Source organism: Homo sapiens, chromosome 11 (assembly GCF_000001405.40).
Source record: "Homo sapiens chromosome 11, GRCh38.p14 Primary Assembly".
In the NCBI taxonomy this organism is placed as follows: domain Eukaryota; kingdom Metazoa; phylum Chordata; class Mammalia; order Primates; family Hominidae; genus Homo; species Homo sapiens.
In genome coordinates this window covers 108,830,622-108,851,684 of record NC_000011.10, presented here as the reverse complement: position 1 = coordinate 108,851,684, position 21,063 = coordinate 108,830,622, and the positions used below count along the sequence as shown (strand labels likewise).

At 36.3% G+C, this 21,063-nt stretch overlaps 1 protein-coding gene across 1 annotated transcript in view, besides 1 other annotated feature; it reads right to left on the bottom strand.

The window, feature by feature from the left end:
- The window catches only part of DDX10 (DEAD-box helicase 10), a 275,859-nt gene that overhangs the window by 89,243 nt on the left and 165,553 nt on the right, over positions 1 to 21,063 (bottom strand). The window contains exons 14-15 of the mRNA NM_004398.4: positions 13,120 to 13,239; positions 10,209 to 10,370 (exon numbers count right to left, since the gene is read on the bottom strand). Coding sequence (NP_004389.2) covers positions 10,209 to 10,370; positions 13,120 to 13,239 — 282 coding nt within the window. The remainder of the gene's footprint in view (positions 1 to 10,208; positions 10,371 to 13,119; positions 13,240 to 21,063) is intronic.
- Positions 15,577 to 16,327: an enhancer, noted in NCBI's record as "OCT4-NANOG hESC enhancer chr11:108706085-108706835 (GRCh37/hg19 assembly coordinates)". NCBI's record gives its function as "activates a minimal SCP1, AML or CMV promoter by ChIP-STARR-seq in naive H9 embryonic stem cells {active_cell/tissue: H9 hESC(naive)}" and the evidence as "EXISTENCE:reporter gene assay evidence [ECO:0000049][PMID:30033119]".

The following is a 21,063-nucleotide window of genomic DNA, read 5'->3' as shown; positions in this document are numbered from 1 at the left end:
GTGCTTTTTGCGATACATTCTAATAAAAATAAAAATGTTAACATTCAGGGGTTAAACATTAACAGATGTGACTTTAAAAACAGAAGAAAATAATAACTAGTATTATTTTAGCAAGCAGCCAATTAATGCAATAGTGATTATCAAACTTTATCCCTGAATTGGTTCTCTAATGAGATTATAAGAGACGTTCTGCCACGAAATTAAAATAATCTCAATGCTTCCCCAACTTTTGGGGAAAAATAAGTTAATGGATGGCAGTTTCTAAACAATCTGTGCCTAAATTAAGTTGGCACCAATTACTGATTTTGAGGATTAGCAGACTACAAAATATATGAAAGAAGCAAAACAAGATTAAAGAAAAAATATGATATAACTGATCATAACTAACACTTCATTTGAGCTGGCTTTAGCTTGTGGATACATGTATTTGTAGCTTTATCTCCCTTCTCTTTCCACCCCACCCCCCATGCAGTTTTCCTGTGTTAGACACTAAAATGGAATATAACTATATTTTATGTTATTCTACGAAGATCACAATGACTTTTGAGTGTTTTGTTGCTTACATTAAGACTATAGCTATATATCAAGGAACTACAGAGAGGAATAAAATTGTACTTTCATAAAAATTTCTTTGTCCATTAGCACATTACTGTTATTTTCTTACCAACAGAAGTAGTTCAGAATTATTAAGTATCAACAATGTGCTATGCATTTCATATAACAATTTGGTTATCTTTTTAAATCTATGTAACAGAACTTATAAAGGTATTACTATTCCCATTCTATAGATGAAAAATGGAAGATCAAAGTAACTAAGTAACTTGCCTGATGTCACACATAGTAAGTGATGGACTTGGGACTAAACTGGGCCTGGGGAGCCGAAGTCCTCACTCTCTCAAATCTAGCACACCACTACACTTCATACTCCTCCACTGGAACATTGACTTCACTTTGTAGGTTCGTACATAGTATTTGTATCCGTATCAATATGTTTTAGACAAATGTTGCCAATTCTTTCATCATTATAATCTGCTACCATACAGGTCTTTTCATCCTGATAGCATTTTTTTTTCTGACAGCATTTTACAACATTACTCAATTAATTTTGCCAGTCTTCTGTGCAGAAGAAACAGATAATTGACCATATTTAAAAGCCATGCAAATTTTTGTTGTAATTATTCAACAACTGATCTTCCTCCAACACATCAGTGTCTGAAAATGGCACTTCAAAGTTGCAAAGAATAACTTCGACATATTCACATCAGAAAAATCCTTTCTACTAAAGCAAACATAACCATGCTGGGGTTTTCCATTTAGTCATTTTAATCACAGCAGAAAAAAATGGACAATTTTCTACTTTTACTGAATTCCAATATTAATTCATTATAGTCATTAAAAGATATTTTAAATTTCAGCTTTAAATTGGCTATCAGAATTTACATGTGCATGCAAATGAGATAATTTTCCCTTTTAAATTTTCTACCAAAATTTTCAGACGGACAAGAGACATCCAAAGACTTTTACAACATGAAGTGAATGTTACCAAGACATGAAACAAATGCACTAATGACAAACTTTTAATACTGAGTGAAACTAAAAGAAAATAATTTGAAGTGAATCATTAGAAAACGTTTCTTTCTTATCTGAAAAAGCTTTATTAGTACTCTGAAAAGAGCCAAGAGTAAACATCAAGACAGAAGCGAAAGAACTGGAAGTAGATTTATCATAATTCAAAAGTTAGAAAATGAATATATTCTTTGTGGGAGTAGGAAAAAAATAATTTTCTAAAGACGGTTTATGACATATGACAAAACAAAGATAAAAGGCTGGAGTACAATTACTTCAGGAGAAAAGTATAAGTGAATCTTATTAGATTCAGTAATTGAAGTCCTCCTCCCCTTTTAATTAGGTGTGGCTCAAATGCCTTAAATGCTTTATTTTTCCTATTTTATTTTTGAGGACATACTGGTACCAAAAACTATTTTATGCTACAAAAAAAGAAGGCAAAATGTTATCTTTAGTTCTGCCATGCTACAAATGATTAAGTATAAGGGGAGCACGAAATTCAATAATGAAAATCAAATTCACAAGGGACAGAAAAACAGAAAATCAAATTTCAAGGTATAAAATACTACCTTTATAGATATTATACTTCTTTTGGATTCTCACACACTATAGGTCCTTAGCTTCCAGAAAAGAAACTACCATGAAACATGAATTTCATGAGCAGTCATGACTACTAATTTAAACTTTTTCATTCTAGGGTGATACTTGAAAATTTGTAATTTGAAAATAAGACTCATTTTTGGGAGGTTATGAAAGTATATTCCTTTGCGTGATTCTCAGGCAACTGTGTCAGTTTGGTAAGGAATTGACTCCCCAGCTATCACATAAGGAAGAAGGGGACATGCATCTTTACTTCAGTGTTAGAATAACCTATTTTTCAAAAAAGAAAACTGGCTTAACAAAAGTAAGCAAGAGAAAGATCATGAGAATGGTTAAGTCCCAAAGATATCCCCTGCCCTCCAAGAACAAAATTCCAGTAAACCTAAATCCTTCCCAGGAACTTAACACAACAAGGTTCTCCAATCTGTTACCTATTTTACAGAGTTTTGCTTGAACGACATTAAAAAGTGGACTTCTATGTATAAATCTGTAACAACTATAACAAGGATACAAAGAATGAGAAAAACAAATTGATGTGGAAACACTGATTCACTAGTTAAATCCTTTGAATATTTACCGAGCCACATGGTAGGCTCTGCATACATATAATGGGCAAAAGAGATATAGACCATTGCCCTTTGCAGTTTATAACTTAATCCTATCAGACTCCCTGATTCCACTGGCACCAAACTGCTCCCTGCTCCTCAACCCCAATCTCTACCTACTCACCATCAACCTAATAACCAACCCACCTCTCCAACACCATATGGTTTTTAAAAAAATCCCCAAAAGGAAGCATGAAAATAGATCAGATTTATGTAATTCTGAATACTTGTCTCATTTTCGATGCTGGATATAAAGAGAGCCCAAACACCAAGATATTGAGCTAAATGTCACTAGATGTTATAAGCTCATGAGAGTAAGAACAGACACCTCCCCAGGCAGACATCTCCAAATGATAGGCAAATGTTCTATAGCAACAGGTTGGCTTCCATTTTAATAATAAACCTGGTTGTGACAGTAGAAGGGCTGAAACTAGAAGGAAAAAGGGTTGTCATGAAAAGGATCTTTTATCCTCTCATATAAATAAGCTTCATTCACAACATCCATTTCAGAATTAGGCACCAGATACTGAGTCCCTTGTCCTCAAGATGACACTTCTGATCTTAGTAAAATTTCATTAAGGACCATGTGAGCCAGACCAGTCTCTGGCTCTTACTTTAGACTCTTAAATGGCCATAGCTATGGAAAAATGGATTCTGGCACTAGTATATGTACATATCTAGCTATGCAATGAACATTCAGGAATAAGTGGTATTAGTATGGAGTCTTAAACTATACTACTAACCACAACATTTAATTTATTCTTAATTTATTAGAGATCAATGACCTTGTTCTGGAAACATGAAAAATCTCCATTATTTGTCATCTGTTCTTCAAAACCCTTTACTCTTGTGATCATCCTCCACGTTTTAATTCACTGCTTCAGAGTTACCCTCCTGTAAAAGAACGTCTGATGGCTTGAAATAGGTAGCAACACAGCTGAATAGTTAAAAAGCATAAAGTTTAAAGAGTAACAAAGACCTTGGGGTAAGAGTCCCAGGGCTGCTGTTTGCAAGCTGCAGGGTTCTGGACACATTACTTGACCCTTCTAAGTCTTAGTTTTGTAATCTGTAAAAATGATGCTAGCTCACTGATTTCAGAAGTTAATTATTAGCATATAATATGACGATACATGTAAACTTACTGCAGGGTCCAGTTAAGCAAGTGTTACTTGTTAATATTCTTGTGGCTACTATTCCTCAGATGCCTGATTACAGTTTCCCTCTTTCTTAACTATCACAAAAATTTATGGTTAAGTCATCTGGATTCCATGCCAACTTAATTATGTGTCAACAACAATAAAACAAGATAGATTTTCTAAAGTCTTCCTTTAATTCTTTCTTAACTTTCTAATGTTCATGCTGGTAGTAAATGGAACCTAGAGTAATGCTGTACCATCTCTGGAAGTAGTCCAGAGCCACATCTTGACATGTTTATGTTATCTAAATTCATAATCCGATATAGATAAAGCACTCGAATTTCAAGGGAATGAAAGAGCTTCATAATGAATTGTTTTTCTCTATTCTCAGCTGTGATAGCAAATATTATCACCTTCAGTACAAGTCATCTTTCAGAACTAAGAATGATGACACAACACAGAGCAGATTTTCACTCCATTGAAGTAAAAATCATTCAAAAATAGGATCCATGGCCTATCTTTCAACAGTTCTGACTGAATTATTAGAAAACACATTGCTTGTATGTAAGAGTGGCATTTTGTCTTTACAGTTTACTAGTTTACTAATGGTTTCATATGCAAATGTTACAGCTTTTGCTGTATTTTTATTTCCAATGATTGATTCCAGAGGTTCTAAAGAGAAAATAAAAATAACAGACCTATTTAAGCACAGCTACCTATAAGTGCCAGACAAAGCTGAAGGCTGGGGTGGTCTCATAAGAAAGCGGTGCTTAAAGGCTACAACGACAACTCATGAAGAGCAACTAAAGCTGCTAAATGATCCAAAGCAGTTACAGAAGGATACCTGAAGTCCAGAGTAGCAGCTATGAATTTTGGCAAGCAGGCAGCTTGAGTTCTACTCCCAGTGATGCCATTAAACTATATGGTCTGGTCTGGTCTGGTCTGGTCTGGTCTGGTTTGTACTCTAAACCAGTTAGAACCTTTAGATCTCTTATATATAAGGGAATTGAAATTCGTATGTCAAATAGATGTCTGCACTCTCATGTTTATTGCAACGTTATTCACAATAGTCAAGATGTGGAAAAACTGAAGTGCCCATCAACAAACAATGGATTAAATAAATGTAGCATATATATGTACAATGGAATACTATTCAGCCTTAAGGAAAATACAGAATTCCATCATTTGCAACAAGAAGACATTTAGCAGAGTGAAATAAGCCAGGCAGAGGGGTAAATAATACACAATCTCACTTATCTGTGGAATCCAGTTCATAGAAGCAGACTTCGTAAGAGCTCACAGAAGTAGAGCGTAGAATGGTGGTTACCAAAGGACTGGGTGGAAGGCTTGCAGGGGAGATGGGCAAAGGGAAGATGTTGGTTATAGTGTATAAAGTTTCCATCAGACAGGAGGAATAAGTTCTGATGATCTATTGCACAGCTTGGTGACCATGTTAATAATAATGTATTATATACTTCAAAATAGCTAAAAGAATGGATTTTAAATGTTCTCACCACAAAGTAATGATAAATATTTGAAGTGATGGTTATGTTAATTAGCCTGATTTGATTATTGCACAACATATACATGTAATGACATATCTCATTGTACCCCATACATACAATTATTATGTGTCAATTAAAGATAACATAAAATTTTAAAATAAACAATAAATGTAAAAAATTGTTATAATTCAGTTTTCTAAATCTTTAAGACAAAGATTTACTTGAATCACATTAGAAATTATATAGCTTTCAGAACTTGGTAGATGAAAAATGTGATTCAAAGACAGGTGTAATAGTATGAGGGAAAAACAAGTAGGACAAAATGAGTAGTTGAATCCTACTATACTAAGAATGAGTGCACATGCAAAGCTATGATTCAAGGCTGTCAACTTTTAAACGCAAGAGCAAACAACTACTTCCAAACAGAATCATTAAGACTAAATTCACTTACATATTAAATATCCTATCCTTTAAACCAAATATATAATAAAATATTTTGAACATGCTGAAAAAAAATGCCAAGGCTTACAAAATCTTTTACAATTAATATACATTAAAAGAAATGTGTCAAATACAGAAGCATGTGATAGGTTTTACGAAGTTTTTTTTTCATATGCAAAATTCATTCAGGCACATCCCTTATTCACAACTTTGGGTCAAAAGTTTCGTCACCTTTTTCTGTCTTCCTGAAGTAAAGCTTCCCCTAGACCCTGTTGTCAGTATTTTCAATATTCTTTGGGGACATACAGTTCTTCTCAATATACTTTCATAGAAGTAACAAAATTATGAGTGACAGCCTCAAAGGGAAACAGAATTATATTTGCCCAAGGCAAAACCCTACACTAAAAGAACTAAGAATTGTCATTATAGTAGTAGTATACTCAGTTAGGAAAAAAATGTGACTTCAAAAACCAACAATGTGTTCAAGTAAAGCAATTAATTAAAGCAAAGTAATTTGTGCAGGATTAATAATATATTTAGTTTTTAAAGTAAAGTTTTAAAAGTTACTGGAAATAAGTAAAGAAGAAAGTCTTTGTTTGTTTGTTTGTTTGTTTGTTTGTTTTTGAGACAGAGTCTGGCTCTGTCGCCCAGGCTGGAGTACAGTGGCGCGATCTCGGCTCACTGCAAGCTCCGCCTCCCGGGTTCATGCCATTCTCCTGCCTCAGCCTCCGGAGTAGCTGGGACTACAGGCGCCCGCCATCACGACTGGCTAATTTTGGTTTTTTTTCTGTATTTTTTTAGTAGAGATGGGGTTTCACTGTGTTAGCCAGGATGGTCTCGATCTCCTGACCTTGTGATCTGCCCACCTCGGCCTCCCAAAGTGCTGGGATTACAGGCGTGAGCCACCGTGCCCGGCAGGAAGAAACTCTTTTCATCAAGTAAAGCAAGCAACCTGACTTGTCAGGGAGAAAAAAATTACAAATCAAAATTTTATTTTCCAAACAGTTAAGGATGATTTTATTCCCATGTCTTAACTAGATCTATGGAGCCAGAGGATCTCACTGACATCTGGCACTAAGTCCCACTCCTACTCCCTAATTTTTCAGATTAGGAAAGCAAAGTCCCAGTCAGTGACTAGTAATCCAAACTGGACTGGGTACAAACTGTAATTACTTTTTCACCAACCTACTAATTCCACACTGAGGACTCAAGTACAGGTTATTCCACAGTACAGCACAGTATTCTTCCCAACAAACATCACTGCTTCACTTTCCCACATGTGAAGATGTGCCACTTAAGAAAACATTCCTTATTTCCTGGGTAGAAATCCACTCTATGACAGCTTGGTGCATAAATGATTTGAGTGCCCATATTTGTGCCTTATGTATGCTATTGTAGTAAACATGCTAATGCTACAGTACTCACGACTGCAAAGTTTTCTCTAATACACACAAATACATATGTGTGTTTACCAATGAAAATACTATAAAATCAATCATGTGTCAGGTAACATTTATATCAGTCGAATAGAGAAAACTATTCTAATTATTTCTTTGTTTCTTTGTGCTTTTTTTCCAGGTAAGATTTTCAAAATCCTATTTGGAAGGTATGTCTTGTGCAGAATACACCTATTTTCCTTAAAATAGAAAGTTGTCACTTTAAAAAAAAAAATACTGTGACTCTTGTAGTCACAGAAGTACTGGTTTCAAAACCAGCTATATGTAAAGTTCAAGTGATTTCTCTCACAACTTCGTCAGCCCAAAACTGTTCTGTTCAACCTTGCTATGAGATAGTCATGGAGACAGTCTAAAAAATCACATGCTGTGTTCTAATAATGATGCAAAGAAAATCATTTACAAGCTCAAAGCTAAGCGAAAATGGAAAAGTGCACAACGATACACCTTTCATATAAGAAAAGAAGAAAAAATATGTATTCCTATTTATTTCTATCTGCATAAAGAAAGTGAAAGGACATGTTTAAAATTAAAAGTAGTTAGCTATAAGGGTGTAGGTATGAATAAGACAGACAGATATAGGCAGAAGCATGAATTCTCAATGTGCAATTTTTTTTTTTTTCGATGGAGTCTCACTCCTGTTGCCCAGGCTGGAGTGCAGTGGCACGACCTCGGCTCACTGCAACCTCCACCTCCCAGGTTCAAGCAATTCTCCTGCCTCAGCCTCCTGAGTAGCTGGGATTACAGGTGTGTGCCACCATGCACAGCTAATTTTTGTATTTTTAGTAGATGGGGTTTCACTATGTTGGTCAGGCTGGTCTTGAACTCCTGACCTCGTGATCCACTCACCTCAGCCTCCCAAAGTGCTGGGATTACAGGTGTGAGCCACCGCGCCCAGCCAATGTGCAATTTTTTTATCTTGATTTTTGAGCCATGTGAATATATTATTCATTCCAAAACATTTTATGTAAAAAAAAAAAAAAAAAGGATGTGCAAGCAGCTTTTGTGCAGTAACAGCATATCCAGTTAACTAAGACTTAATTATAATCTTCCTGAAGATGGAGGGACCCACGTACATATGTTAGTTTTTTCTTGTTTTTGTTTTTTAAAGAGACAGAATCTTGCTATATTGCCTTTTATTAATGAGTGGCTATTCACAGGTGCAGTTATAGCACACTACTGCCTCAAGTTCCTAGACTCAAGTTATCCTCCTGCCTCAGCCTCTTAAGTAGCCAGAACTACAGGTGCAAACTACTGCACCCACTCAGCAGCACCCACATATTTTAAATATTCTATGTTCACAGCCTATGGCAGAGCCTAGCAAACATTAACACTGTATAAAACAAGTACAATTTGCCAATTTGAAATTAACTTTCTAAAGGTTTCCAGAACAATATTCAATGACATGGATATAGTAACAACTTCCACATGGGAGAAAAGAGATGGCAAGGAAGGGGAAGAGGGTGAACATTATTTTATGTAAATCCTTCATATTTCTTTTACTGCTGGCTACAACTTAGAAATGCAGTACATTCTTGCCCAGTTGTCCCCTGGATAAATACTCTAAGTAGATTGCAAGCTGAAACATGACAAGCTCCTGATACTCTTAATATTAAAGATTTTAACAAATTGCTAATATCAAATTTCAATTTAATTGCTGCACTAAGAGCAGCAATGCAAGAAATGCTTAGTTCTCTCATTAACATAAATATCCAACAATTACAACCAGTACGTTTCAGGTTCATCTGTTCTCCATATTTTTGGAATGCTTTTCTCAACATTCATTTTCCATCCCTAAAGCTATCTCCAATATCTACTTTTTCATCAAATGCTACTCTGAAGCTGCATCAAATATTAAAATAAAGAAATGAGAATTGCTGTTCTATTTTTATAAAAAAGTGTGTACTGGTCCATGAAAGGTCAAATAGGAGTGAAAAGCTCTAAGAATCCTTCTCAGAATGTACTTAACAATGTTCACATCCAAAGGTATTTTGTTCTTAATACAAAATTTAATATTATATAGCAGTGTTTCTCAGGTGTTTCTCACTGTGTCACCCTGAAATCACTGTATCAAAAGCACGCTAAAGAAAGTTCTTTAAAAAATGTCAATCTGCTTTATTTCATTAATTCATTTTTTTATCTAGTGAAATGTTCACTTCTAGGGAATTAAGTAGTATAATGGTATAACAATATCATGTGTGACCACTATATCAAGGATAACAGAAAACTGCCAAGTTCAAGACCACAAGGGCACATGCTTATTTTTATAGAAGTTTTACAAAGTCTCCAATTTTAATATAATAAATTTAATGTATTATCAAGTAATTGATATGGAAATTTATTAAGTTGAATCTGGAAACACCATCAATCTTTTCCAATGGTTGAATGGTGAAACAAACCTCAGTACATCCATACGATGGGACATTACTTAGTAATAAAAGGAACAAAGCACTGATGCACACAACTTGGCTCTGTCTCCATAGAATAATGCTGAGTGAAAAAAGCCAATTCCAAAAAGCTACATACTGCATAGTTTTATATAAAACATTCCAGTAATGACAAAATTATTGAAATGGAGAGCTTGGGATATCTCTATCAACTACAAGTGAAACCACAATTATCTCAAAATAAAAACTGTAATAATAACAACAAATCCACTAATATTATTTAGATCACCTCAGACCAAAGACAGATTTAAGTGGCATTCTCAGAAACGAGTCAATATACAGACTCCCCCAGCAAAGGAACAAATAAACAGAAAAAAGAGTAGCCACAGAAAAAGAAGTGTCAGAGAAAACAATGAAGAAAATAATACACTTATTAATGAATAGCTAATGAATATTTAGATATACTTCGGGACACTAAATTTTACTCAGTATGAATTCAAGATGGAAAGCTTACCCGATGCTTTGCCTTAATTTTTTTCCTATATTCTTCTTTGTCAAATTTGTCCTCTTCCTGAAGTCTTTCCTTTGCTTTATGTAAGTTGATACCACCTGTGTCATCATCTTCCTCAGCATCCTTGATGGCAGATTTCTGCATTTGTGGCCACTGCTGAACCAACTACAGGTAAAAAAAAGGTCAGTGTCAACAGGAAGTAGGGAATACCCCAGAAAGACACTTCATTTTGTCTGATGATTCTGAAAAGGTGCAGATACCCATTTTCTGCCTTACAATCTAATCTGTATTATTTAATCTTCTAATCAACTTCAAGCCATAGAAGAGACTGCCCTAGTCAGAGTAAAGTAACACTGCCATACCCAATGAGAACAGGATTAAAAGAAAATTTCACCAAATAATTTGGAAGAGAAGGCAGTCACAAAATAGAGATGCTCCAGCATCTTTCCAAACAGCATTCTTAGTATCCTATTCTCCACACAACTCAGCTCAAAATTATCTGCACACAGTAGGAGTCGGGCTGAGTAGGACACAGGCTGTACCTCCTTTGGGCTTCCATGGTACCCAGTGTGTTACTGTCACACAAAGTTCATTGCACTGCGTTGTTTTATGTTCCTGTTTCTCTTACTAGAATTAATCTCCTTGAGGGCAGTTGTATGTCTTGTTCATTTATCCTTGGAGCCCAACATAGTATCTGGCACATATTAAACAGGTGCTCAAAATGGATCAATGAATCACATACCAACTAACATTACATAATGACTGAAATAACTAACTGAAAAGGAGAAAATCAGTTTGGGTTTCACAGGCTTGCTCAAATCCACATATTTTACACATACAGTTTAGGGTAAGGAACAAGGTGACCTAGAAGATGGGGCACTGATCTGCTAATGAGGGGACCTGTCTAAATGTCCTGGCTTTTTCATTACTATGTAATGCGAAATAAATTAATCTCTGGATATCTGTGTCCCTTCCAGAAAAACAGAGGTTTATTTGACTCAGTAATTTCTAAGTCTAACACCACAAAACTCTATAGACAATTCAGACAACAATAACTCTTGTTTTATCTAATAATTAGTTGCCAGAAAGATTTAAATAACTACCATTGTTTTGAAAGACTGCTAATTAACCTGCCAGCAAATGGAAACTGCAAGCACACACATCGCAGGTATTAATGTCTCCTCTCTCACTCTGTGGCCACCATAACCATTCTTCAAGATGAGATTCCTATGGAGCCTCAACTTTTAGCAACCAATGGGGTTGATAAATATCACTGAGCAGCCATGCTAGCAGTCACTGACCCTAAAGAGGCAATGCGAGGGATCAGTTTTAACAATATGAATATCATGTTACTTGGACTCCTCATCCCCACTGCAATCAGAGGGCAAAAAGTTTATCCTTCTATGGGCTAGAAAAATATATATAGTGGCATTTCTTTCAGAGCTTTAAGTCAGAAGTTTCAGGATGGCTCACAGCCACAAACATTTCCTATTAGCACTAAGTACACATTGAAACATTTTATAGTTGAGGATTTACATTCATTTTGGAGCTAATTGGTATAATTTATGCAGTTAAACTTAGTAGCATACTAAGGAACCTCATTACACCAACAGCACTCATCTCATTTTACAGTGAACATCAGATGTCATATGACTATTCTAGTTTAGTCTGTTTCTCAGGTGCTGACCTCTTTTTCGTAACTTCATAAAGACTCATTATCTGTCATTTAGATACGCTTCCTCTTCAACTTCCACCACCTTTGAATGGCACACGATTTTGTGACTTTTCGTCTGATTTATACATCCCAAAATAACATCCAAAACTTTAACTCCAAAATTAAAAGGAATCATACTCCACTGGAGAGGCTGCTTAAGCAGTCTTTATGTTAATGATGATGAAATATATGATGTGCTACATTAGTTAATATGAAAAGCTGTTATTTTATTGAAATAGATGTTTCATTCAATCAATAAATTTTTGTGAGGGCTTATTATGTTAGGTACCTTTCTAGGTGCTGGGGACAGAATAGTAAACAAAATCAACAAAATACCTTCCTCTCAAGAAGAAGTGGAGTGGAAGAAACTGACAATAGTCAAATATAGACTGAAGTCACAAAGTAAGTGCTGTCAAGAAAAGTGAGGCAGGGTGAGAGAAATGAGGCTATGATGGAGGTAAGGTGCTCTGTGCTAATATGAGGATAGTCAGGAAAACCTGCGCTGGTGAGAATGAGGCCATGAGATGATATTCAAAAGACCCTACCTACTGTAACCACTCCTTAGGTAAGTCACTTGACATACTGGATCTATTTCATCATTTTAAAATGAAGACAACTGTTACATAATAGCATGAACTTTCATGAGTAACCTGTGAGTGGTAATCCCTTCCCTATACTATGGGTATGTATTTACAATACGGCTAAGGGAAAGGTGAATTTAAACAAGGCACCTCTGTGTCTGAGACTACTTTATAAAGCAGAGAATTCCCTCCCATAGCCAGTCCAGCAAGATATATGCAAGTACAGCATTTAAAATTGAGGAAGTGCAAAGCAGAAGCTTTTCTGAGTGAAGCAAAAGAAGCTGTGGCAAGTAGATGTATTAGCATTCTCATGTCTGTTCCATAGAACATAATGTTCAATACCATGAAGAGAAAACCTTATCTATAAAAACATAATCTAGAAAGTTCAAAACCAACTCTGTGTCAGTATTACCAAGAAGTATCTCGGCTTATTGGCAGTAAGGCATCCTTGTTCACAGCAGTAGAGCTGATGTACAGCCTACAGTAACAGTGAAAGGAATGGCCCAGCATGCTGTAGAGAAACATTTACTCTATCATTAATGAGTGCTAAGTAAGAGAGAGTCGATCTCTTCTAATACTCCAAATGCACCTCAGAAATGAAACACTTCTAGAATCTTACCTCCCCTTCATCAGTAAATGTTATCTTCTTATTCACTTTAAAATTTCTCTTCATTACTTTTTTTGCTTCTGCAACTTTGGTCATTTTTTTCTTGATGCTGGATTTAGAAGGTTCTTTCTTCTGTGTGAGAACATACAAAAAACACAGATGATTAGGAAAATGGTTGCTTTATATTAACAATCCAACTCTGGCAATATACTTCTCAAAACTGGGTACATTTATTACTCATTGGCTAATGAGAAGCATTGAAAACACTGTCCAGGAATAACATTATTTGACTTATTAACTAAGAACTCCTCCCAAAACCTAAAAGAGTTTAAGCATTAATAGGAGGGCTAGTAAACCAATAACGTTTACATTTTCTCTATTACTAGAACTGTGCTATTTGATAATATTTAAGGACTAAAAATTACATAATATAATAAATGGGCATAAGATAAATAAAGCTATCTTCCAGTCAAAATTTCATACATATCTTAAAATGTGCAGTTGCAAACTTAAGTTTTTAGAGTAGGAAAATGTATACTTGGAAAGCAAAATGATTGCCATACATTGTTTGCAACGTTGCAACATTCCTCTTCCAATTATAGTAATTTACCATAGGAACACAGTAAAATATCCAATGACAATTAAACTGTGTCCAGGCCGAGCATGGTGGCTCACGCCTGTAATCCCAACACTTTGGTAGGCCAAGGCAGGTGGATCACCTGAGGTCATGAGTTCGAGACCAGCCTGGCCAACATGGTGAAACCCCATCTCTACTAAAAATAAAAAAATTAGCTGGGTGTGGTGGCGGGCGCCTGTAATCCCAGCTACTCAGGAGGCTGAGGCAGGGGAATTGCTTGAACCCAGGAGGTGGAGGCTGCAGTGAGTGAAGATCACACCATTCCACCTCAGCCTGAGGACAGAGCAAGGCTTTGCCTAAAAAAAAAAAAAAAAAAAAAAAAAAAAAAAAAAAGCTGTATCCAAAGGTGAGATGCAGAAAACACTTAACAGGAAGTACTGATTAGGACCTAGCTCACAACCTAAAACCACTACAGCAAGATACTAAAAATTCAAAGCCACTGCTTACTTATGCTAAGTGAATGGTGAGCAGACCCCCTGAGATAGGGGGTTGGAAGAGGTCATAGCATAACCTGCTTTGATGAGAAAGTGACAAGACATAACCCAGGTCTGAGGATTTGGATTATCCTCCTCAAATTACAGCTAGTATTACTATTGGTGGTACTTAACCCAATGCAGCTTCCATTAGACAGAATAAGAAGTCTTTGGTGTAGTAGTTAGGAAAATGTATTTGAGCACAAGCTCTATCACTAATAAGCTATATGAGATTAGTTACCATTACCTAACCTCTGGGTTTAGTTGTAAGTTGAGGACACCAATGGTATCTACCTCATACAGTTATTGGGAGGATTAAAAAGTAAATGTAAAACATATGAAAAAGTATTCAATAAATCTCAAATACCACTTTTATACATTGATTTTGTGCTACATAGAGAGATCAAGCCAACTGCATAAAGGCTTACTTTGCAAAATACCCGACTGCAGTCTCCCTAGTTGATTGATTTTTAACTCTGTACCATAGGGAATCACACAAGGAAAAGAGAGGAGGGACCAATCTAGAACATTTATCTATAATTACCAGAAGCTTTGGGAAGCAGCGCATTGGTCACAACTGTTACATTATGGTAGTAAGTACACACAAAAAAGAGCAAATCATTTAATAAGGAGATATTAACAATGATGAATACATAAATGCTTAAAAATAAACCACCAAGGCCGGGTGTGGTGAATCACACCTATAATCCCAGCACTTTGGCAGGCAGAGGCAGATGGATCACTTGAGGTCAGGAGTTCGAGACCAGCCCAGCCAACACAGCAAAACCCCGAATCTACTAAAAATATAAAAAAATTAGCTGGGCATAGTGGCGCACCCCTGTAATCCCAGCTACTCAGGAGGCTGAGGCATGACAATCGCTTAAACCTGACAGGCGGAGGTTGCAGTGACCTGAGATTGTGCCAGTGCACTCCAGCCTAGGCAAAAGAACAAGACTCTGTCTCAATAAATAAATAAGCAAAAAAACCACCATGCAATTAAAAATAACAAACCTACTATAAAGACTTGTGCCAAGTTATCAATGTATTATATTTTTAGATAATGGTCACGGTTATGAAAATAGCTAGTGCATCTGCAATAATATTATGATTTAACTACAAGAAAGTTGTTTTGACAATGATGGTTGTACTATGTGGGTATTACTAAAACACTGACTTTGTATTTCCGATTCAACATGAAAGCTATAGTATCTAGTTACATTTATTTCTCAGACCACAAATTATGTCATATTTAAGAAGTTACTACCATCTCCAACCCATATAAAGCTAATGAAAAGATTAATTGCCTCTGAGGTAACTTTTATTATATCAGAGACATTTAATATGCTATAATTGAGGCTGGAGAATAGGGTCTGGAGGCAGGAAACTTAAGGCTAATTCCTGCTGAATCAAGAAAAACACCAAGGTCTGGAGGCAGGGAACCTGAGACCAATTCTGCTACTTCCTAAACCTGGATCAAAAGGAAAACACCTGGGTCTGGGGGCGGGGACCGTAAGGCCAATTAACACAAACTTTCTGAAACTTCCTAAAGCTAAACCAAAGGAAAACCCCCATCTCCCAACATGGAGTAACAAACGATCAAAGGCTACTCTCCCTACAATCCCCCCACCCCCCACCACGCCTCAAATGGAAAGGAAAAGTACCCTGGATTGGCCAAGCAGGGACTATCCCTTCATCTGCACAGGGTGCCAATTCACCTCAGCCTTTAATTAGGCACGGACCAAATCCTTCATCCAGATAAGGGCTAACTGATAGGCACCTCAAAAGAAGTACTTAAAACCCAGAAAACTTTGTAACGGGCCCTTGAGCCACTGGCTCGAGCCCACTTCCACCCTGTGGAGTGCTTTCTAGCCTTAATAAATTATTGCTTTCGCTGCTTCTTTCCTGTGTTTCATTCATTTGTTATTTTGTGCGTTTTGTCCAATTCTTTGTTCAAAATGCCAAGAACCTGGACAACTCACTCAAGGCCCTCCTTCCGGTAATATAATCACTATATACACATCACAAGACTTCTACGACAACAGATTAAGTTTTAGATTTCTTCTTCCCACTGGACATTCTCCACTTCCTCCACCTCCCAGGGGTCCGTGACTCCACAAATATCACCAACTGGTGGCAAAAGGCTCTAAACTGCTGTGCCTACCCTCTCTCCACCACTATGCTTATTCTAAGATGTGTGACTATTGTTCTTCCTCAGTTACTATAATCCTCATTTCCTTATCTCACTTCAGAGAGTAACTGAGTAAGCTGTGCGGTGGTAAAACATCTAAAATGGAAAAAAATACAGTGGCAGTAAACCTGTTCACCTAAAAAATAACCTGTATGACCCCTGTGAACACAAGGGATTAATAAGACCCCCACTTCTGTCAGCCTCGTCAGTATTCCTACACCTCCTTTTCCTCACAAAGGCTTAGAGACCACCATCAACACAACCACCAGGGCTGGTGACTTTGTTACTGACTCCTACTACATCTTAATTGTTTTAGGGCTAAGACAATTCTTTTTTTTTTTTTTTTTTTTTTGAGATGGAGTCTTGCTCAGTCGCCCAGGCTGGAGTGCAGTGGCGCGATCTCGGCTCACTGCAAGCTCCACCTCCCGGGTTCACATCATTCTCCTGCCTCAGCCTCCGGAGTAGCTGGGACTACAGGCGCCCGCCACCACGCCCGGCTAATTTTTTTGTATTTTTAGTAGAGACAGGGTTTCACTGTGTTAGCCAGGATGGTCTCGATCTGGCTAGGACAATTCTTAAGGACCTTGGATCTCCATCAGACCTCATCTAAAGACAGAAGCAATGCTGATCAGACAGTATAAACTTAAGGGATCACTGTAATATAAATGTAACATAGTAAATTATAATCACATAAACCAGTAAACAAAAAGTACTAGGAAAGAACATGAGTAAACCTTCTGGGGTCATGGCAGTGGTCTAGATCTTGATAAGTTTGAGTTACACAGGTGTATGTATTTGTCAAAATTCATCAAATGTTACATGTAAGATTTGTGCATTTCATTGTATATAAATTTCTGTCTCAAAAAAGAGTCCTATAAACAATATTGAACTGTAGTTAATGCCATACAAGCTGAAGTATATGGAGGAAAGTGTAATGATATTGGCAACTTACTCAAATGCACTAAATAAAAAAGGATGGAGAGATAGATGGATAGTTATGTGATAAAGAAAATATGGTAGGTAGGTGCCTCATGCCTGTAACCAGCATTTGGGGAGGCCAAGGCAGGAGAATCTCTTGGGCCCAGGAGTTCACGACCAGCCTGGGCAACTTGGTGACACTCAGTCTCTACTAAAAATTAAAAAAAAAAAAAAAAAAATTAGCCAGGCTTGGTGGCACAGGCCTGTAGTCTTAGCTACTCAAGAGGCTGAGGTGGGAGGATCACTTCAGCCCAGGAGGTCAAGACTACAGTGAGCTGTGATCACTCCACTGCAATCTAGCTTGGATCAAAGAGCAAGATACTGTTTCAAAAAAGCAAAGAAAGACAGAGAGAAATACAGTAAAAGGTTAACTGTAGAATATGAATGGTGGAATGTTGGGCGTTTGGGTGTCCAAAAGTATACTTCTTACTACTTTTCTGTACATTTGAAAATGTTCATAAAACACAATAGCCCAGTCTAGAAAGAAGGGGGAAAAATCAGAAAAATGAAACCAAAAATTGTCAGTGGAATAAAGGTCAAAAAAAACAATCCTGCAGAGTGGATCCTTAAGTGAGGTGGTCAAGTTGAAGAGCTTTAGGGAAATCCATGAAGCCACTAAAATTACATGACAAAATGTAGAGGTATTTGCATCTCTGCCTTTTATGGTTTATATTGGTTTCTGAAAGAGTTCTGTGTCCTGCCCCCCTGAAGAAGTAAAACTTTTTATTTGTTTTAGGGAAGCCACTGTTAGAAGGAACAGAAATGCCCACATGGGTGAGAAGAGGCTTATCATATTTTCCTGTTAGGCTCTGGCTTTGTCTGATACTCTAGAATTATTCTTCACTCATTCAAAGATGCTGCAAATGTCAGCGCCATCCAAGGCATCATACTACATAGTGAGGACGCAGCAGTGCAAGAGGGGTGGACTCCCAGCCTTCACAGAGCCCAACTCTATCTATGGAAAAAGATATGAAACAACTAGAACAAAACATTAATTATATATATAATCTTAGAAAAAATACACAGAATAAATGAATATGACTGTCCTAGGTAGTCAGGGGTGAGAAGAGCATGTCAAGGAACTTCCTTTTGAGGGAGAGATGTTTGAATTGAGTGGCAAACGCTAACACACTGTGGCATCACCAGCACATCAGTGATGTGCTAAACACCTGTGCTGTCCACTGATGGTGTATTTTACACATGGCTGACAAGAGAGTCTTAGTTCCACGTCATTCTTTTTAATATTAACTTTAGCAGGTAATACATGCACATGTATTCTGTAAATTGTACTTAAGTTAAAAGGTTGTTTTTCATGTCCTCTTCAGCAACCTCGGTTTCTCTCCTAAGGATCAGGTGCTGTTAGCAGCTTCTGTATCCTTCCAGAGAGATTCCATTCATATTCAAGTACACAGGAAAAACATGAAGTTACTAAAAGAGTTACCTCCAGCAATTAAAAGCCTTGATTATATCTATTCATACACATGTGCTTTTATATATCCAGGTTAAGTTTCTAAAAGTGAAAGTGCTCAAAGAGTATGTATAGTTAAATTTTGAAATATATTTCCAAATAATCCTCCCAAAGTTATACAAACTTATATTCCCACCAAAGATTTATAAGGAATTGATTTACTGCATCTGCAGCTAAGTATATTATTAGGCTTTATGTTGCCAATCAACTAGGTGAAACAGAGTACCTCGGGGAAGTTTTAAGTTGCAGTTGTATTATTTTACGTATGACAGAACATCTTTTCAAAGGCATTATTTTTCTATGCACCATTTGTATTATCTGCCAGTATTTCTAATGAATTCCTGGCATTTAATTTATCAAGTTGTGAAATCTCTTCATTTGTTAACAATGCTTCAGTAGTTTTCCACATCTCATTATTTATATTTAGACTTTTGCCATACAAGGTAATCTTGTTATTTCGCTATGATTTGGTTTTTGTGAAGATGAAGTTTTTAATTTATGTAATCAATTTTAGTAAATGTTTTCTGGGTGTGTACCAAACTTTAGTTTTCCAACTAGAAGATTTTTAAAAACTAAATTTAACTTCTTAAAGTGCAGATTTTACTTTTTTAGAATTTTTAAAAAAATGACTCTTGGACAAGAAATAGAGTGTTATTACTTTTTATACTTCAATTCATTAACAAAAAATATAAAATATATCTATTATTAGATAGGAGTTATATTTTTTGACAAGATTTTGTATTATTGGTACAAGAATGAAATTTATAGCAGCCCTAAGAAATACAATGAAAGATTAGCTGACAATATGTAAAACATCAAAATATGACTTTCATTTCTATTTGCACCTCTTCTACAACACGTATGCTAGACTTTAAAAAGCTAAAAGGAAAGTATCATAAAATACAAAATTGGTAGTCACTCTCAGTGTCCTATGATAGGTGTAGAAAGTTACTGGAAATAATCTGGAAGATAAAAGAACTGCTGCCACCACCAGTCACAAAACCAATAATGGTTCTTATCATAAGGACCATGTTAGCTAACATTGGCTACAAGAAAATTCAAAATATAATCAATGAAAAAAACTAATATAAGCATTACTACTACATATCCTACAAAAGAAAATAAAACTATTGTTAAAAAATGATATTTTAAATGAAAAGCAAAAATCACAGGAAAATAAAAGTTAGAATTAAAGACAGTCCAAAGAAATCAGATTTTTATGTTTCCTTAAAGTAGCTCCCATTTGGGCCAACTAATAATTTATAATGAAAACCATTTTATCTAAAAGTGAAGTAAACCAACAAAATAAAGAAGAGTCAACACTGGAGAAAATCTTTAAGATTACCTATTATAGCTGAAGCCACTCCTATGAAAGATAAGAGCATTTCTTTTTTTTTTTTTTTTTTTTTTTTGAGACAGTCTCGCTCTGTCACCAGGCTGGGGTGCAGTGGCGCCAGGGAAGAGTGCAGTGGCTCGATCTCAGCTCACTGCAACCTCCGCTTCCTGGGTTCAAGCGATTCTCCTGCCTCAGCCTCACGAATAGCTGGGACTACAGGTGCCTGCCACCACGCCTGGCTAATTTTTATATTTTTTGTAGAGATGGGGTTTCACCATGTTGGCCAGGATGGTCTCAATCTCTTGACCTCGTGATCCACCCACCTCAGACTCCCAAAGTGCTGGGATTACAGGCGTAAGCCACCATGCCCAGCCCGATAAGAGTATTTCTTAAGATTGATAAACACTGTTTCCCCAAAGTCCAAACATATTTAACTATACACATTTCTATTGGCTAAATAACCAAACTCTAATAGAACTTGTTTATGATTTAAAAAAGAAAAAGCAAGCCCAGCTGCTATCAAAGTATAATGCCTCAGTCACCCTAAATCAAATGAATTACAGTAATTCAAATATTCTCTAACTTTATGGTATAAATTAAGAACACACTATTTGATATTTTGTTTTAAAGCCATCTACAAAATCTTTTTGTAATAAACTATAAATAGAATCAAAAACAAAAATCACATGATTATCTCAATAGATGCAGAAAAAGCATTTGACAAAATCCATCACCCCTTTATGATGAAAATCCTAAGCACAGTTAGCAAAGAAGGGACATAGCCAATCTATGTAATAAAAGCCATCTACAACAAACCCACAACTAACATTATACTAAACATAGAAAGTTGAAAGCATTCCCCCCCTGAGAACTGGA